Below are 19229 nucleotides of genomic sequence, written 5' to 3'. Positions count from 1 at the left end.
CAATACCACAGAATATACTTCTTTTCAAGTGCAAATGAAACATTAAGATAGACCACATGTTGTAAACAAATCTGGCCATAAACTGTCTTAATAAGTTTCAAAGGATTGAAACCATAGAGTACATTCTCTAGTCACAATGAAATTAAAGTAGAAATCATTAACAAAGAAAGCTGAACAGTCCCCAAATATTTGGAAACTAAGTTACATATGCTAAGCAAACCATTGATTTAAAAAAAGAAATCACAAGGGAAATTAGAAAATATTTTGAATGATTAAAAACCAGCAGATCAAAGTTTATGGAATGTAGCTAAAATAATGCTAAGTGAGAAATGAATAGCTTGTAATGCATATATTTGAAACCAACTTAAAACAAATGATCTAAGCTTCCACATTAATAAGCTAGAAAAAAGAGCAAATTAAACCCAAAGTAAATAGAAAGAAATAAAGATAAGAGCAGAAATGAAGGCGAAACGAGAAAAATCAATGAAACTGAAAGTTGGTTCTTTGAAAAGTTCAATACAGTTGATAAACAGTTAGATTGACTGATCAAAAAAACTCATTTTGTTGCAGAATTTTGCTCCTTAGTTCAGCTAAAACCGGGTTCTTGTCACACCACCAGGAAGGATTAGGAACATGGACACATTGAAGGGTGAGGGGAACGGAATTTACTGGGCAAAAAGGAAAAAAGAAAAATACTGTCAGCAGAGCAAGAGGGGGTCCTGCTAACAGGCCTCCAAACTCACATTGAATCCCAGGCCACCACACAGAAATTGAAGAGGCCAGGCTCCTCCCCGCTGAGCATGGCCACAGCTTCCCTTGGCTCCATCTTGTTCTCCCAGTGCACAGATGGGTTGGAGATTCTCCGGAGACCCTCCCCGTAATCCCCCTCCTGCATGTATCAATTTCAGTATCAGGAAAGGAAAAGGAGATACAACTAAAGATCCTAAATGTATTAAAAGGATAACAGAATATTTATAACCAATTTTAAGTCAATAATTAAACTTAGATGAAATAGACAAACTTTATTGAAAGGCACAAATAACCAAATCTGATACAAGAAATAGAAAACTCGAACTGTCACAGAAATTGAATTTATAAGTAAAAGCCGTCCCACAAAAAAAAAAAAAGAAGAAAAAAAAAACCTCCAGGCCCTTATGGTTTTACAGCTGAATTCAACCAAATATTTAAAGGTTGAAGAAGTTTTTGGACACAAACTTCTAGAAAATTCAGGAAGGAACAGTTTCCCAAACATCTATGAAACCAGTATTAATCATGATACTGAAACTAACAATGCATTACAAAAAAAAAAATTATAGAATGATGTCCTTCTTGAATGTAAACTTCTTAAAATAGCAAACCAAACTCAATGGTATATAAAAGGACAATGCATCATGACCAAATGGGGTTTATTGCAGCAATGTGAAGTTGCTTTAACATTAAGAAATCAATGTAACTTACTACATTGATAATCAAGAGAAAAATCATATCTCTATAAATGCAGATGAAAAACATCTAACAACATTGAACCCTCATACATGGTAAAACTCCCAGCAAACTAGTAATAGAAGGACTCTTTATTAGATAAGGGACAGAATGAAAAATACAGTAACGTTATACTCAAGAGCAGAAGATTGCACTCAATGCTACTAAGACTGAGAACAAGGCAGGCTGTCCTCTCAACCACTTTTATTCAACGTTATACTAGAGGTTTTTTAAAAAGAGCTATATCGGTCAGGAGCGGTGGCTCAGCTTGTAATCCCAGCACTTTGGGAGGCCGAGGCAGGCGGATCACTTGAGGTCAGGCGTTTGAGACAAGCCTGGCCAACATGGTAAAACCCTGTCTCTACTAAAGATATAAAAATTAGCTGGGCGAGGTGGCACGTGCCTGTAGTCCCAGCTGCTTGGGAGGCAGAGGCAGGAGAATCGCTGAACCAGCAGCAGAGGTTGCAGTGAGCCGAGATTGTGACACTGCACTCCAACCTGGGCGACAGAGTGAGACTCAGTCTCACAACAACAACAACAACAACAACAAAAACACACACATACACACACACACACAAGAAAACTGACAAGAATAAACAAATTTGGATTCGGAGCAAGTACGGCCACAAACCCAAGCGACTAAAGCCACCAGTTGGTACTGTGAGCTCTTTCTTCATCCATAAAATCGTAGTAGTCCCTTCTCTGCCCACTTCACAGTATCAGTGCTCTGACATGCAAGGGCTTTGCAGAGAAACTGATGGGTGGCTTAATTTGAACAGCTGAAAACATTAGAAATGGAAATGGACAACCCCAGATGCTACGAACTGAATGTGTCCCCCCAACATTCATATTTGAAATCCTAACCCCCAAGGTGATGGTATTAGAAGGTGAGCCCTTTGAAAAGTGATTGGGTCATGAAGGCAGAGGAAGACCTCTCACCTCTTCTGCCACATGAGATGACACTGGGAAGATGGGACCCTCACCAGATGCCAAATCTCCCAGGGCCTTGAACTCGGCCTTTCCAGCCTCCAGAACTGTGAGAAAGATTTGTTTCTAAGCCATCCACTTTGTGATATTTTCATATTATGAAGGGACTAAGACACCAAGCTTGTCAGATTTTTTTTTCTTTTTTGTAGAGACAGGGTCTTACTCTATAACCAGGCTGGAATGCAGTGGCACGATATGGTTCACTGCAGGCTTGGTCTCCTAGATTTAAGCGAGCCTCCCACCTCAGCCTCCTGAATAGCTGGGACTAGAGGCACACATCACCACACCCAGCTAATTTTATTTTTTGTAGAGACAGGGTCTCGGTTGCTCAGGCTGGTCTCAAACACCTGGCCTCAAGCCATTCTCTGGCCTCAGCCTCCCAAAGTGCTGGGATTACAGGCATGAGCCACCGTACCCAGCAAGAGACTTTAAAAGCCTTTTGGGAAGGTAAAAGTGGAACAAACTCTAGTATTTGGAAGCAGGAATACCTGCAATTATACTCCCACCTGCCTCTTAGCAGGTCATGTGGAAGTGGATGTGATTTCATAAGAATCTTATAGAACATTGCATCCAACACCTGGAAAATGGCCCATCAGTTAAGGATGACTTCTTTCTTTTTCTGGCCTGCTCTAGACAGTATTCTTTACATAGAACCTGCCTTAGAATTTAAAAATTAAGGAGGACAGAAAATCATCTGGCTTCCAAAGATGATTATGAAGAATATAAGCAAGAAAATAAGATGGGCCTAGAATTTAAAAGTATAGAATTTATTAGGTACTGAATATAAAAATAAACCATCTAAATAGGGGCCCAGAGAACTCCCTTTATTTCTCTAGGTGTCTCTAGGCCTTTCCACCCCAACCCCGATAAAAACATTTTGCATATATAATGGCTAGCAAAGACTAAAAAGATGGAAAGCTTCCAAAGACAGCAGGCACTCAGCTTAAGGAGGGTGACAACCGGGTAAGATGAGATCTTCCTGGAGGAGCCCACCATTTTCTCCATCGCAACACTGACAAAAAGACACCCTGGCCTTCTGGGCCAGAGGCTGACATTAGGGGGTCCCTGAGCAAGTGATGGGCTGGAACTGCTGGTTGGGAGGCAGACGGCCTACTCCCTCATTGCATCCTCCAACTGCTTCACTATCAAAGCCTCCTTCTGCTCCTGCAGCACATCACAGAACCGACGCATAGCTAGAGGGTTCAAATGGGGACAGAGAGAAATAGTGATTTAGTAGGTTTGCTGGTGGGTCCCAGACATACCCAGGTCATGGTCAACCATAAAAGCCTCTCATTCAGGGATCCTGAACTTCAGCCCTCCCACCTTTGGGATGGATTTCCAAGTCTACATGTTGCATCCCTGATTTCTTTTTGAATATCATTGTTATGTCAGCCTGCGAGACATCTCAATGTCTTGTATCAAAGCCTGTACTCTCGGGCTTATGGCCTTGGCCTAATCAGGATTTCTATTTGCCTCTAGTGTCTCTTCACTCAGCCTATCTTCTATGCTAGCTCAAAAGAATTCTGTAACAAAAACCTTCATGAGAATGAACAATTCACTGCTATATTCCCAGCAGGTAGAACAGCATCTGGCATGTAGTGGAATGCAATAAATAAATGTTCACATGAATGTCCTATTCTCTATAACCTCAGAGGAGAATCTAAACTCTCTAGTATGGCATACAGGGACTTCCATGGTCATCTGCCTATCCATCTCACTTACTAGGCTGCCAGTCCCACAAGGGCAGAGTACTACTTTTTTCGGGTTTTGTTTGTTTGTTTTTGTTTTCTTGAAACAGTCTCACTCTGTCGCCCAGGCTGGAGTGCAGTGGCGCAATCTCAGCTCACTGCAACCTCCACCTCCCAGGTTCAAGCAATTCTCCTGCCTCAGCCCCCCGAGTAGCTGGGATTACAGGCGTGCGCCACCATGCGTGGCTAATTTTTTGTATTTTTAGTAGAGACAGGGTTTTACCATGCTGGCCAGGCTGGTCTGGAACTCCTGACCTCATGATCCACCCACCTCGGCCTCCCAAAGTGCTGGGATTACAGGCATAAGACACCGCACCTGGCCTCAGAGTACTACTTTTTAGCTTGTGGTCCCAATGCCTCACTCAATGGCAGTCACAGAACAGATACCCCAAATGGGTAATGAATGGATAGGTGCTTGAGGTACATATCAGTTCTTGTTTGCAAGAGCACCTAACTAAAGATAGACATGGAAACAGGGAATAAAGGGCTAGATCTATAGGATGTTTAAGGGGGGTGGGGGAGAAGATTGACATATTAAATTGATGGGGCGTCTTTAAAGGATTGGGAGGTCAGCTCCACTCACCCAATTTTAGCCGGGGGAGCTCATCTGCAAAGATGAGGCAGAACCAGCCTGGCTCCTTACACATGTAGGTTTTGCCACGGGATAACAATAGCTTGTTGTCCAGGAAGCGGCAATAGAGGAGCCGTTCTTCTTCAAATGTACAGGGATCCAGGTACTAGGGAGGGCAGAGGAACAGAACTGAGCCCAAGACCCAGCTGGCAGGTCTGCCCAAGAACACCTGTCCTCATTCCCAGAACACACCTTTTTCAAGTTGATCCAGACATAGAGGCCAGAGCTGCGGTTGTGAAAAGGGATCTCCAATGCCTTCAGCTCAGCAGTGATGTACTTGTGAGCTTCCCGGAGCCGGTAGCAATTGGTGGGTAGGTATACTTTGTCAATCCATTCTGGATGGGTAGAGGAAAAACACTGTCACAGATATTACTACAGAAATCTACCGAGAGTTCCTTCCCAAATGCTCCCTTCCTGGGCTTCATGCAAGTTTGTTTGTTTGTTTTTGTTTTGTTTGTCTGTTTTTAAAAAAAACAAAAAAACCAGAGTTTCCCTCTGTCACCCAGGCTGGAGTGCAGTGGCACAATCTCGGCACACTGCAATCTCCACCTCCTTGGCTCAAGTGATTCTCATGTCTCAGCCTTCCAAGTAACTGGCACTACAGGCGTACGCCACCACACCCAGCTTATTTTTGTATTTTTAGTAGAGATGGGGTTTCACCATGTTGGCCAGGCTGGTCTCAAACTCCTGGCCTCAAGTGATCCACCTGCCTCTGCCTCCCAAAGTGCTGGGATTTTAGGTGTTAGCCACTGCACCCTGCAAGCTATTTCTAAGACTAACTCTAGTATGTTTGAGCTGATGGTGTCCACACCTGATACACCCACCTCTTATCTAAGGCTCTGGTAGAGACACTGGGCTTCTCAAAGGTCTAGTAGGAAAGTTCTCTTTGAGTTCACAGCCCTGAGGCAAGGAGTCAATCCCCTAATAGGGGTTGATGCTGTTGTTGTTAACTGGGCAAGCAGCAGGGACTCGCAGCTCCTACCACCCGAATTTGAGCCTCATACAATGGAGTCGGAGGAATATATGTGTGCCTGGGGATGCTCTTGGCCAGTTGCCCTCTGCATTCATAGAACAGAACCACTTGGGGAGCTGTTAGAAGCCCTGATGCTCAGGCTATATCAGGATCTTTGAAGATGGAACACACGTCAGTATTTAAGCTCCCTGGGAAACTCCCACGTCCATCCAAGATTGAGGACTAGCGTTCAAGGGGCTGGGATCTGGTTTCTGCCAAGTATCAAAGGTCTTGATATCTAGGGAAGCATTCAGTTGGATTTCTCCTATCTACCTCTCTCCCCTCCCAGAGCTGAAAGCAAATTGTTTTCTAAATCAGCAAATATAATGACATCAGTTTGTTTCATTATATCCCAGCTATTAATTAAAACTTTCAGCTTGGTATCTGTTCTATTACAGGGAACTAAAGAAAGTGAGTCTCTAAGCTTGGGCCATGGCTTTAAAGGGGAAAGTCCCTTCTGAGGCCAGCATTCACTTGAGATCCAAGCAAGGGGACGATGAATCTAGGTACCACAGGCCTAGCCACACCAACCTGCCCAAATGGCAGCTCTCCTCTGGCCACCTTGGAAGATGAGATTATGTTGTATTAGAAGAATCAGAGTGTTTGTGTTGTTTTTGGTTTTATAATCTTTGTCTAAAGCAAACAGAGTTTTGGGGAGGGAAAATCTATATTCACATAAAGACTAATTTCTGAAGTTCCTACCTTCACAACTTAGAGTACGATTAGCCATCCCACATCTGGGTAGAACACAAGCTACCAGACATCCAGAAATTAAAGCTCATCCTGTAGTTTTTTGTTTTTGTTTTTTGAGACAGAGTTTCACTTTTTCTACCCAGACTGGAGTCAATGGCGCTGTCTTGGCTCACTGCAATCTCTGCCTCCTGGGTTCAGGAGATTCTCCTGCCTCAGCCCCCGAAGTAGCTGGGATTACAGGCGTTTGCCAGCATGCCTGGCTAATTTTGCATTTTTAGTAGAGACCGGGTTTCACCTTGTTGGCCAGGCTGGTCTCAAACTCCTGGCCTCAAGTGATCCGCCCACCTCGGCCTCCCAAAGTGCTGGGATTACAGGCGTGAGCCACCATGCCCGGCCTCATCCTGTATTTTAAAACAGCACCTCCATCTTCTGCCTACACCCTGCTGTGTTATCTGCCCTATCTTGCCCTCCTTCAAACCTCACATCTTACCACAGTTAAATCTGAGACAGGAAATAGGGTCTCAGTATATTAAGGGCACATCAGAGGCCCAAGCAAATCCAAGAATTCCCCATGGCCATGAGGTCCAGCCAACATGCTGGTCTGTGCTAGAGCTCAGTACCTGTGTTCTGGAGCAGTTGACACAGCTTGTGCTGGGTGATGCCAGAAATACTGTGGAGGTAGCCAAAGGCACTCACAGCAGAGGCCACCTCCTTGTTGTGGGTATACAGAGCACCAAAGCGGAAGCCAGAGATGCCAAAATCCTAGAGGAAGAAAAGCAGGAACAGGAACAAGTGTTTTGTCTGCCTTCTATTCCTGGCTCCTCCTCCTTCCCTAGCCAAGGAGAGAAAGCAATGGCTCACCTTACTGGTACCCCAGATCACATGGGTCCTGTTGCTATCAGGCAAACTGAAGAAGAAGTGGAAAAATTAACTAAGGTTATAGAGAAATAGTTGATGAAGATTTGGGGTATAAGAGGGGAAAGTAGATTTGAGGTTGGTCCTAGACAGAAGGGCCTATAGGGCCCAAAGCTCAAGAAACAGTTGTCCCAGTTAAGCCAGGAAGTCAACACAAGGTATTCCTGAAGACCTAGAGGGCACAGAACCCAAGTGCCCACTGAATGAAGTCTAGGGCCTTCAGCCTGACATGTGGCTCTCCTACAGCTTGGCCAAAGCCACTTTCCTGGCAGTTGGCTCTTCAGATGTGGGTCACCATAATTTCTAGAACGTGCCCGAGTATTTCCTACTGCTCCACCTTTGGTGAAGCTATTCCTTCTGCCAGGCATTTCCTTCCCTTGCTTTGAATGCTGGAATCCCATCTCTATGGCCAGATACTACCCTTCAGAAGGTTCTGCCTCCTTTTTCTTTCCCTGTGCTCTACTTATCAAGAATCTCCTACCCTGGCATTTTATGAGGCTTTATTTTGACCTTTGACAGTAGACTTTCTACCTTGACCTCAAATTATCTTCTACACAAAATGGCATATAGACTAGAAGACATTTAGAGGGAAAGATGATGCTTTGTTTGTATTCACAGGCCCTGTGGGCAGTTAACTGGCTATGTGCTAGGAACTGAGTTAAGTTCATGTCACATAAACTCACCCTGCAAAACAAGAACCTTGTGGTTCTCGTTCCCAACTCCAGCTGAGACCAGCTCACCTTTTCATGCTCAGAATGCTGTGGAATGTGATGGATTCATCAAACACAGACAGCATGTAAATCTCATCTATGATCACATGTAGGTTATACCTGTAGATTAGATGAAAGAAGGAGAACAAGATCTAGCTTCTCTCTAATCTTTTTTCTTTGCATGCTTTTTACAAGCATCTTTGTAATCTTAAGTCATGTCTTTTATGGTGTTCTCTGGACACAGATCATGCACTCCTACTGCCCCAGCAGCCCATCTGACCCTCCAAGGGGCATAGTAAGGTAGATGGGGTGGTACATCAGAAGGGACCCTTAGACCTAGCTTGGGGGTAATGGGAAGGAATAGGATGCAAAAGACACATATGAGAACATCTTGTCTAACCTTAGCTAACCATTCAACCATCAAGCAGAGACTATGGGAAGAGGTTGGGTAGCCCAGAGAATTTTTAACTGGTAGAGTCAGGAGCTCCTAACTGCTTATGTGCCTCATTCATTCTCCCAACAACCCTCAGTACTGTCATCTCCATTTTAGATGAAGAAACTAAGGCGGGCCGGGCATGGTGGTTCAGGCCTGTAATCCCAGCACTTTGGGAGGCCGAGGTGGGTGGATCATGAGGTCAGGAGTTCAAGACCAGCCTGGCCAACATCGTGGAACCCTGTCTCTACTAAAAATACAAAAATTAGCTGGGTATGTTGGCGCATGCCTGCAGTTGTAGCTACTCAGGAGGCTGAGGCAGGAGAATTGCTTGAACCCAGGAGACAAATGTTGCAGTGAGCTGAGATCCCACCACTGCACTCCAGCCTGGGTGACAGAGCGAGACTCCATCTCAAAAAAACAAAAAACAAAAAAAAAAAAGAAAGAAAGAAAAAAAGAAACTAAGGTTCTGAGCTGTAAAGTCAATTCCCTCAATTAGCAGCTGCTATAGCTGGGAAGTGAACCCATTCTATCCAATTCTTGCCTACCCCCTCTAGCATTTTTCCTCCTGACCACACACTGCACCATTCATTGGTCTGTGTTAGTCATGAAGTTTGACTAAGTCTGTTTCTTATGGAAAATGGAAGGTTATAATTTCTAGAACGTGCTCTTAGAAAGGAATGTGAAGTTCTATAGGAACACGTCTTCATCCCACAAGGTCTGAAAGTGTCTTCCTCGGCACTCCAGCCCAAGTGGCTTCGGAAATGGATGCTGGGAGAAAGTACTTAAGCTTAAGTAGAGAAGTAACAAATTATATATTTTTAAGTGACATATTTCTCAGAAAACAAAACTATATTTTGACTGTTATATAAATGTCAATACATAGGCTGAGGCTAGAAAGGAAATGGCAAAAAATTTGAAGTGGTAAGCATGTGATTGCGTTTTCCTTCATTTTAATTTCAGTTAGTTTTACATAACTCTGCAAAGTATGGTGTATAGTGAGACCATTTAGGGTAAATTACTTTTTGAGACAAAGTCTCACTCTATTGCCTAGGCTGGAGTACAGTGGCATGATCTCGGCTCACTGCAACCTCCTCCTCCCGGGCTCAAGCAATTCTCATGTCTCAGCCTCCCAAGTAGCTGGGATAGTAGGTGCCCACCATGATGCCTGGTTAATTTTTGTATTTTTAGTAGAGACAAGGTTTCACCCTGTTGGCCATGCTGGTCTCGAACTCCTGACCTCAAGTGATCCACCTTCTCGGCCTCCCAAAGTGCTGGGATTACAGGCATGTGCCACCAGATCTGGCTCTTGATTACTTGACTATAAGTGATGGGAATCCTTTCAAGAAACATTACCTAGTCTCAAGGGGTAGAACTCATACCTCTTGGCAAATTCCAGGTATTTCATCAGTGAGTCTGGGGAGTAGATGTCACCCAGAGGATTCTGAGGGTTGATTAGCACAAGGCCTCGGACCTTTTTCCCCTAAGAAAAACCCAAATATAACTGAGTGAATACAAGTCCTTAGCATCTACCCTAAATTCAGCCAAGGATCTTTTATAGGTTAGGCACCCAAAAAGGCCTAGGTAGGGTCTTGAAGCAGCAACTACTATACTGCCCAAAGAGGGGAAACAGGAAGGAAGTCTGGGGCTGCCATAACATCCCCACAGGACTAGAGGGACACACCCCTGGATCATTTACTGTCTCTTCCAACTAAGGACAGCCCACCAGGTCTTGGTGAATAAGCAGTACCAGAATTTCAATACTCAAACCCCTTTTAGGACCAGCAGTGGCCATCCTAAAAATATGGTTCCCACCTTACCTCAAGCCTAGCTTCAAGCAGGGCTTCCTCTAACTTGTCCACAGTGAGCTGGAAAGGATGGGTGTTTGTAACAGTGACCTGGAAGAGAAACACTATGTGAGAAGTGTCTCTTAAAATCTAAGTCTTGATTCCTCATTCCCATAAGCCCCGCAATCCTTTGCCTTCATACCAGAGTGCCAGTCCACATGCCTTCTCCACCCCTACCCAACCACTTAGATGGGTAGAAAGCAAGCCCCTCTACCCCTTTAGGTGTCCCCAGAACAGTCCATTGTCTAGGCATACTGAGCAGGGAAGGGGCCCCATTCAGACCTCACTCTCCAGGTGGACAGGAATCAACTCAACCTTTGCATACAGGCGGGAGCTAAAGGCAAAGCCACCATAGAAGGGAGCAGGGACCAGGAAGGCCTCTGGAAACACAGAGAGACAGAGCTATCAGTCCAAAGTCTCCCAATCAGAGCCTGTTGCCAGGCTCCCCAAACTAGCAAAGCTATCGACAGAAAAAAAGTCAGTTTCACGATCCTTTCTACCTGGGGATTAATGTTCTTAGGTTCAGGTGCTATGAAAGTTATCCATTATTATAGACATCACTGGGGGAAACAAAACTCTAGTTTCTTCTTTGCGGGTACACTAGAGAAGAAGAGGGAAGAATATCACTGAGTAACTCAGAATCCAGGGCACAAGTCAAGCGAGGCTCACTAGCAGATGGAGCAATGGTTATCAGGAAAGTCTCAACAGATTCAGGCCAAATATCAGAGGTCAAGGTCCATGCACAAGGAGGGCTCCAGTTATTTGGACATGGTGATCTCACGTTCTTTTCTTCCCATCCATTTGGCCTTACTGATGAGCTGAGAGAAGCTCCTTTGCAGGAAAGGGACTATCTTAGCACTTCTTTTGATGCATCCAGAGCTCTTTAACATTGGAGCCTCTTGCTTAAGCATTGTTACCGGGGAGGTTCAGAACAGTCCACTCAACCTTGTTGGGTCCAGGACTAATTAGCCTTTTTCTGAAGAGATAAGAAATCTATATTGTCTGAGTCCATTGCCATGGCTGTCTGTATTGCAGCTGAGCCCAAAAGCCCAGCCATGAACATAGTAGGTAGGCTCCCATCATCATTCCTGGGGCATACCTCCTTGAGGTCCACCATGTCTCTCTTCCCTTAAATGGAGAATCCAAACCCCTTGTTCCCACAGAAATAGGAAGATAACCTAGTCAGTGTGGGAGAAGGCCCACCACTTTGGGGAAAAGGCCTTGAGTCAGGATGCTCTTCTTCCTCAAAGTCCAGTGCCCGTGTGTTCCTACCTGTGTTGCTAGTATTTCACTGAGAGTGAAAGGAGAGCCCACTGACTTACCGCCTGGATCACACAGAACCATGGCCAGGGCACAGAAGACAGAGCAGCAGCCATTTAGAACCACCACCTGAAGACAACACATGAGAGGCAGAAGTCAAAACCAATACCTATGTGAGAAGGGGTAGCCATGCTTTCTCCATCCCCCTGGGCAGAACAGGCACAGGGAGCCTCCTCAGTTGGGACACATTGGCCTTCATGCTGCCCTGGCCCTGAGAGTCTTCACTGGTTCTCCTTGTACCCCCTAGAAAGGGCAGAGCATCCTCCAAGAATATAGCCCTCCACCAGGGTGGCAGCAAGGCTGGGAAACTGACTCACATTTTCTGGGTCAAGTCGGGTAGGTGCCCTGCAGTAGTAGGTCAGGAACCGGGCCACTTCTTCCCGCAGGCTGTAAACAGACCCAGAGAGACCTTGTGGCTTCCGGGCCCCTTTCCTCACTCATGGTCTAGATGGTCATTGTCCAGCCTAACAGGGACCTTTTCTACTCAGTCCAACCTCATATTACAGGGCTACTGACTAAGACCATCAACTCCCCAAGTCACACAGACAATAAATGAGAGTTGGGACAAGAACTTAGGCCTTGGCCGGGCACAGTGGCTCATGCCTGTAATCCCAGCACTTTGGGAGGCCAAGGCGGGTGGATCACAAGGTCAGGAGATCAAGACCAAGCTGGCAAACATGGTGAAACCCCGTCTCTACTAAAAATACAAAAAATTAGCTGGGCGTGGTGGCGGGCACCTGTAGTCCCAGCTACTCGGGAGGCTGAGGCAGGAGAATGGCCTGAACCCAGGGGGCAGAGCCTGCAGTGAGCTGAGATAGCACCACTGCACTCCAGTCTGGGTGACAGAGTGAGACTCCATCTCAAAAAAAAAAAAAAAAAAAGAACTCAGGCCTTTTGAATTATTCCTACTATACCAGAATAACTATTCCTACTATACCAGGCTGCCTCCTGATGAAGTTTTGCTCTAGGCATTTTCTAGAAGTTATTACCCAAAGAGATAGGGAGGTAACCAACCAGGAATTTGGTGCCTTGAATCCTCCTTCTGGATAAGGACAGCTGCCTGTGGGACCAAGAGACTCTAAATCTGAAGGTCACTTACAATGGCTGCCCTCTCCAATCAGGGTACTGAAGCAAGGTGTCCTCAATGCAGTTCATGTCACTTTCTTGCAACTGTTGACAAATAGAACATGAAGACAGGTAGGCCAGGGAAGTTCAAGAGGCCTCATTCTACTCCTAGTTTGTACATGAGTGTTTGCCCTCCACATACATGACCTCCTAGAAAGGGAATGGGTATATACACTGCATGCTCCTTAATGAATGGAGGCTACCATCTTGTCATAAATTACACAAGTAGATACCTCACTGGGAAGTATTTGACCCAGAGGTTCCCATAGCAACTTTCCCACCATATACCTAATCAGAGAATATCTCTGGACAGTCAGCAAAGCCAGGAGGTTAAATGTGCTATTCTAGAAGCTATTTCTTCACTCCTCTTCCCAGGCTCCTATGTCTCACCCCTGTATCTACCATAGCTCAGGAGCACGCTAGGGGGACTAAGCCTTGAAGGGGTGGGTCCCAACACAGCCCAGAACATCCTTACTCTTTCAGTCATCAGATCCATGCAGAGCTTGTTCTCACTGGTGCCAAGGTTAATGAAACCCTGGAGATGGAAGGAATCCAAGATCAGGTCAGTCCTCTTGCTCCACCCTACATAGATCCCTTGAAACATTAGTTCAAATGGAGATCTCACTGCCTATGAGGCAATTCAATCCAAATTTGACAACTTTACACGTTAGGAAAGCTTTCCATGAACCCAAAATAGTACAGCTTGCAAATTTCCCCATTAGAGCCACATAAATAAGTTATGTCCTATCGACCAGTCATTGAGTTCTTATTATGTACCAGATACTAGACCAAGTGCTTCTTGTGAGTTGTCTTAATTCCTGAAAAGAAGGTTCTATATAATCCAGTTTAAAGAGTGAAGTTTAGAAAAGTTGAATAGCCTACTAGCCATGTGACCTTGGGTGAAAAGTAGAACTCTACCTACCTGACGCCTGAGCCTGGACCCTTAATCCCCAAGGCCCCATCTGGCACCTACCTCTGCTACTTCTCCTTACACATTAGGGCCTTCTAAGTTATTAGAGGAGAACAGAGATAGGAACAGAAGGGGAAGGTATAGCTAATGTCACCCTCCACCCTCTGGCTGGAGAGCTGCTAAGGACCCCCTTTCCTGGAAGCCTTTCATCAGTTCCCCATCGCCCTTAGGGTAACATTCCTTTTTTTTTTTTTTTTTTTTTTTTTTGAGACAGGGTCCCACTCTGTCACCCAGGCTGGAGTGCAGTGGCGCGATCTCAGCTCACTGCAACCTCCAGCTGCCGGGGTCAAGTGATCCTCCCACCTTAGCTTCCCAGATAGTTGGGACTATAGGTGTGTGCCACCACGCCTGGCTAGTTTTTGTATTTTTTGTAGAGATGAGGTTTCACCATGTTGCCCTGGCTGGTCTCGAATTCCTGGACTTGAGCGATCCACCAACCTTGGCCTCCCAAAGTGCTGGGATTACAGGCATGAGCCACCACGCCCAGCCTCTTAGGGTAACATCTTAACACCTCCCATCCACCTCTGTTCACACCTCCTGCCACAGCACCAGTGGTCCCTACTCTGGCCATTGGACCTCCTTTCCCAATCACTCCTAGCCCTTCGCATCTTGAAGGTTTCACGTGTGCTGTTCCTCCTGCCTGGAGGGTCATGGCCATGGCCATCACCACATGGCTGGCTGATTCAGCCTTTAAGACCTCTTCCCAGACCACCTGAAGTGGGCATCCCTTTCACGTTCTTGGGAAGATTATTAATGCCTGTGCCCCAGTGGCTGACTCCATTCATCACTACGCTAAGTTCTTTAACGGCAGGCTCATTTGTCCCTGTGACCACAGGGGCCAACTCCTAATAATTAAGAGCTGGGATTAGGGAGAGGGAGGGATGTGGGGGTGGATGGAGTTCTCTAACTTTCTGGGGCATGTCACTTTATTTCTGTAATTATTCCCTTATCTGCAAGATGACAAGAGTGCCCGTTTCATAAGGCTATAAAGAATGAGAGCATATATAGCACTTGGCCCAGGACTCAGTAAATCCAAGTGACTGGAGCCCGTGAGGATGCTGCCCACCCCCCACCCCAAATTCTCACCAAGGTGTTCTTGTCCTTATGATATTTATCTTTTTGGTAGGCATTGTAGTCCTGGAAGCTCGACTGATAAAAGACAGAGATGTCAATCCCACGGATGGATAGGTCGCGGTTGACAAAGGCAGCTTCACAATCACTCAGTTGGGGAACTGGATCAGGCTGCCCAGAGAGTTGGGCCCTCTGCCCATATCTGACATCACCCCTAGAGTCCTCAGAAGGAAGAGGCACTTGGAGCTCCAGGCCACTCGCGGCCCCAGACTGTAGGAGGTTGATCATCCGGCATATTAAGCGACTCAGAAGGGCTTCATGCTCACAGATGGCCTCAGTGTGCCTCCTTTCCTCCAGCGACAGGCCCTGTCTGCTCGTCAGCTGCACGAAGTGCTCCGTCATGGCCTGCTGCAAGTGCAGCGTTATCTCCAACAGCTGGGTATAGATGCTGTGGTCTCTGGGGACCCGGCCTCTCCTCTGACCAGAGGGCACAGGAAGGGTGTCTGACCGATGACTCATACTCCGGGTATCTTTACTGGCCTCTGAAGGCTGCCTGGCACCTATGGAGAAAGAGACCATTGACAATGGAGCAAAGGAGGATCTCCTGGACCCTCAGGTCCAGGAATGGATGGAGACAGAACAGATCTCAGATCTGTTCTTCTCACTTCCATGCCTTGGTTATATGACCAGATTGGTTCATGAAGAGTTACCTACTCTTTAGGGCAATGAGTACATGGCCTCAAGCCTAGACACTGAGTGCTCTATTTAAATGGCATTAGGATGTGTTCTGAGGAAGAGCAGGGGGATATGAACAAGGAGGCTCTGGATTTTCCACCCCGTTCTTCAACCTGAGCACTTCCTGCTTTGTTTGGTTAAATAGGAAAAAAGGGTTTCTACTGCTCAAAAACAATCACCATCACTACCCACTGAGTAAAACATTCTGCTAGAATAAACTAATGCCTGAGGGCCAAATCTGGCCTGCCACTTATTTTTGTAGATAGTTTTATTGGAACACAGCCCCATTCATTTATTTATGTCTTGATTATGGCTGCTTTTGTGTTACAATGGCAGAGTTTAATAGTCATGACAGAGACCACGTGACAGAGACCATGTGGTCCACGAAGCCTAAAATATTAACTGTCTGGCCCTTTACATAAAAGGTTTGCCAAGCCCTGTTGAAGAACATCAGCCCTTCTTTTTGCCTTTTCTTCTCCAGGTTGGCCATACCAGATACTCAAAGCCTTTAGATTCCTCAGTTCCTCTATCCTCACTTGGCTTCCTGCAAATGCCTTCCACCTACTCACTGTGACAGCTGCCTTAGGCTTCCATCACTTGTAACTATGGGCTAGGTACATGGCTCTCAAACTTTGAAGTCCATCAGAATCACCTGGAGGGCGTGGTAGGAAACAGATGGTGAGACCTCACCCCTGAATTTTGAGTCAGTATGTCTGGGGTGAGACCTGAGAATCCTCATTTCTAGCAAGTTCCTGGGACTATACTTAGCAATTTTGTTTTGTTTTGTTTTTGTTTTTTTTTGGAGGGACTGGGTCTTGCTCTATCACTCAGACTGAATTGCAGTGGCATGATTATGGCTTACTGCAACAAACTTCCAACGATTAGGATTAACCTTCCTTTTGAAAACAAGTTAAATACTGAACGAGACCAAAAAATACCTTTTAAAGCCTCAAAGAATCAATAAATCAGATAGCAAGATCCCAGAAGGTAGGAAAGCTTGAGGCCAACAGCTGCCACTACTTCTTTAAGACAATCCTTATATCCCAAGATATCAAGACCCTTTTTTCTAAAAATCTAGACCTATGCCCATTCCACCAAATGCTACAATTCCAAGTTTTTCCCCCTAAGTAACATCCCCCTACACACACACAAACACAAAAAAAAACCTCGTTGCTTCTTTTATAAATTTAGGGCACCAGTACTTCAGAGTACCAAACACTCTGTCCAACTTCTTCAAACCATGTTCAGTTTGCCTGTGATGTTCCCATTGCAACCTATACCTCACCTTAGTGACATTTAATATTGTTACTTGTTCAGTGTCTGCCCAGGTCAGCCTTCAGTATTACATTCTTAGCACAGTACCTTGGCACATGGGCAACTAACATAGTTAATGAGTAGGAGAGGCATAACCACAAGGATGTTGCCAAGTCAGGGAAGAGATGAGCCATAAATGAAGACTTTGGCCATGGAAGATGGAGCAATAGACAGAGAAAGCCACAGAACAAAGCTGTATCAAGTCTTGACTTACGATCCCAACCTTTAATCATAATGCAAAAACTTTATTCAGTGTTAGGAACATACTGATGAGAAAGAAATTGAACAAATATAAGTGTTTATGCCTAGAGAAACCGTCTCTTCCACAAGCAAGAACTTTGCCCTGGCCCAAATTCCCTGTCCTAGAAGAGATTCATTTTAATGGGGCTCTCAACTCTGTAGGTAAGTCACACTATCTTTCCAAATACTTGATTATCATAGAGCATTGCAAGGGCCAGGTGAGATTCCTTTGGTTTTGCCTTCCAAAAGGTGGTGCCTATCATCCCTGTTGGTCCTGCGGAGTGCTAGTGGAAAGAGCCAAGATCGGGGTGGTAACCTCCCTCCAATGAACAAGAAGCTATTGTCACCAGGCATCTTCTTCCTTTTCCCAGGACTGGAATTACACATTGAGTATCTTTGCCCTGTGTCACCTTAACAACAAAGTCAAAGATGGGACAGCTCTTTGGACAGCTCTGTAACATCAGCCAGCTCAGCCCATGGTCCCAGAATTTTAGTTATTCCAGTTCAGTTAAATTAGGGGCTCTTAGACTTCTTGCCATGGAAGTCCTTGCTGTTACCAAAGTCCCACTAGTCTGCCCCATATACCAAGCACTCAGCCGGGGACTCCAGGCACATAGGAAATAGGGACCAGGATGCGGCAGGGAAGCTGGAGGCCAGTGTGGCCTAGTAGGCAAATGGAGGAGGAAACTTGTTTAAAGTAGTTTGAATGAGAACCCCCCAGGGCAGATTTATATAGCAAACATGGGGGCCAAGGCAGGTAACTGAAAGTAATGCGTTTTCCTGGTAAAAATGTTTTGGTTTTTTTGTGGGGGGGGTTGTTTGTTTTTGAGACAGAATCTCACTCTCTCGCCCAGGCTGGAGTGCACTGGTGCAATCATGGCTCACTGCAACCTCTGCCTCCTGGGCTCCAGCGTTCCTTCCACCTCAGCCTCCTGAGTAGCTGGGACTACAGGCACATTCCACCACACCCAGCCAATTTTTGTGTATCTTTTGTAGAGATGGGGTTTCATCATGTTGCCCAGGTTGGTCTCAAATTCCTGGGCTCAAGTGATCCTCTCGCCTCAGCCTCCCTAAGTGCTAGGATTGTAGGCAGGAGCCACCATGCATGGTCCCAAAAATGTGTTCTCTGATAACAAAGTGAGTATGCAGCAAGGCCAGGAGTAAACCTAGAAGCTGGACTTCTGCCAAGACTCATCTTTCTATGGGAAAAGTCTATTGTAAATGACACCATTCCACAAAGGCAACAATGCCCCTATTCCTCAGCCCTAAGTTGTCTGGTACCGGGGGTATACCAATCCTCTCCTCAAGTCTCCTTGGCTATACCATTGGTTTCAGTATTCGTCAGCCTCCCACCATCTACCTTTCCATTCACCCGGGGGCCTTCTCTAGCAGCTAGAACCAGTATCCCAGGATCAGCCCAGTAGATGCTAGCAGCCTTTTGACAAGAGCTGAAAGACAGATCATGAACAGAAGTTGGGAAGGAGAAATGAATGTGGGAAATGAAGTGGGAACAGGCTGGCAGTTCACTTTTGATGCCAGCACATGGCTATACTGTTTACAGAAGGATACTTCTAATATCACTTTTTCTAGTGCCCTACAAGCCCTTATAACTCTTCCAGCCTTCCTTCTTCTTGCCACACACCAGCCTCCTCTGGTGTCTCAGTACTCTCACCTAATTCAGATTCTTCCTTCTGGGTATGGCAAGTATGATAGGGATTGCAGAATCGTCTTCATGTGCATGTAAGGGGAAGCAAGTTATTTGGGGATATAGATCCCTAAATACAAGGTGCAAAATTGAAAGCTCAAGTAGAAGTACCCTTGACAGGCCTAGGCTCTATTCTATAATTGCTGCTCACTAACTGTAGGATGTTGGAAGAATTACTTCCCCTGTCTGGGCATCAGTTTCTCCGTATGTAAGATGAGAAGAATGTGATGAAACTGAAGCCCAGTGAAGATAAGTACCTTCTAGGGTCTCACATTAGAGCCAGGATTTAAA

General features: G+C 45.6%; 1 protein-coding gene across 3 annotated transcripts in view; it reads right to left on the bottom strand.

Moving 5' to 3' along the window:
• Positions 1 to 3522: 3522 nt before the first annotated feature.
• The window catches only part of ACCSL (1-aminocyclopropane-1-carboxylate synthase homolog (inactive) like), a 138910-nt gene continuing 123203 nt past the window's right edge, over positions 3523 to 19229 (bottom strand). The window contains exons 5-18 of one of the 3 annotated variants that reach the window (XM_047426927.1): positions 14960 to 15504; positions 13379 to 13438; positions 12878 to 12948; positions 12096 to 12165; positions 11781 to 11847; positions 10741 to 10838; positions 10432 to 10509; positions 9994 to 10094; positions 8209 to 8298; positions 7415 to 7460; positions 7174 to 7315; positions 5041 to 5183; positions 4801 to 4954; positions 3523 to 3662 (exon numbers count right to left, since the gene is read on the bottom strand). In XM_047426927.1, coding sequence (XP_047282883.1) covers positions 3580 to 3662; positions 4801 to 4954; positions 5041 to 5183; positions 7174 to 7315; positions 7415 to 7460; positions 8209 to 8298; positions 9994 to 10094; positions 10432 to 10509; positions 10741 to 10838; positions 11781 to 11847; positions 12096 to 12165; positions 12878 to 12948; positions 13379 to 13438; positions 14960 to 15504 — 1748 coding nt within the window. In that variant the 3' untranslated portion in view covers positions 3523 to 3579. Of the gene's footprint in view, positions 3663 to 4800; positions 4955 to 5040; positions 5184 to 7173; positions 7316 to 7414; positions 7461 to 8208; positions 8299 to 9993; positions 10095 to 10431; positions 10510 to 10740; positions 10839 to 11780; positions 11848 to 12095; positions 12166 to 12877; positions 12949 to 13378; positions 13486 to 14959; positions 15520 to 19229 lie in introns of those variants that run through there. The other 2 variants (NM_001363113.1, NM_001031854.2) reach the window with 2 other exon arrangements.

Source organism: Homo sapiens, chromosome 11 (assembly GCF_000001405.40).
Source record: "Homo sapiens chromosome 11, GRCh38.p14 Primary Assembly".
NCBI classification, from domain to species: Eukaryota; Metazoa; Chordata; class Mammalia; order Primates; family Hominidae; genus Homo; species Homo sapiens.
This window is presented reverse-complemented; position numbering and strand designations above follow the sequence as displayed.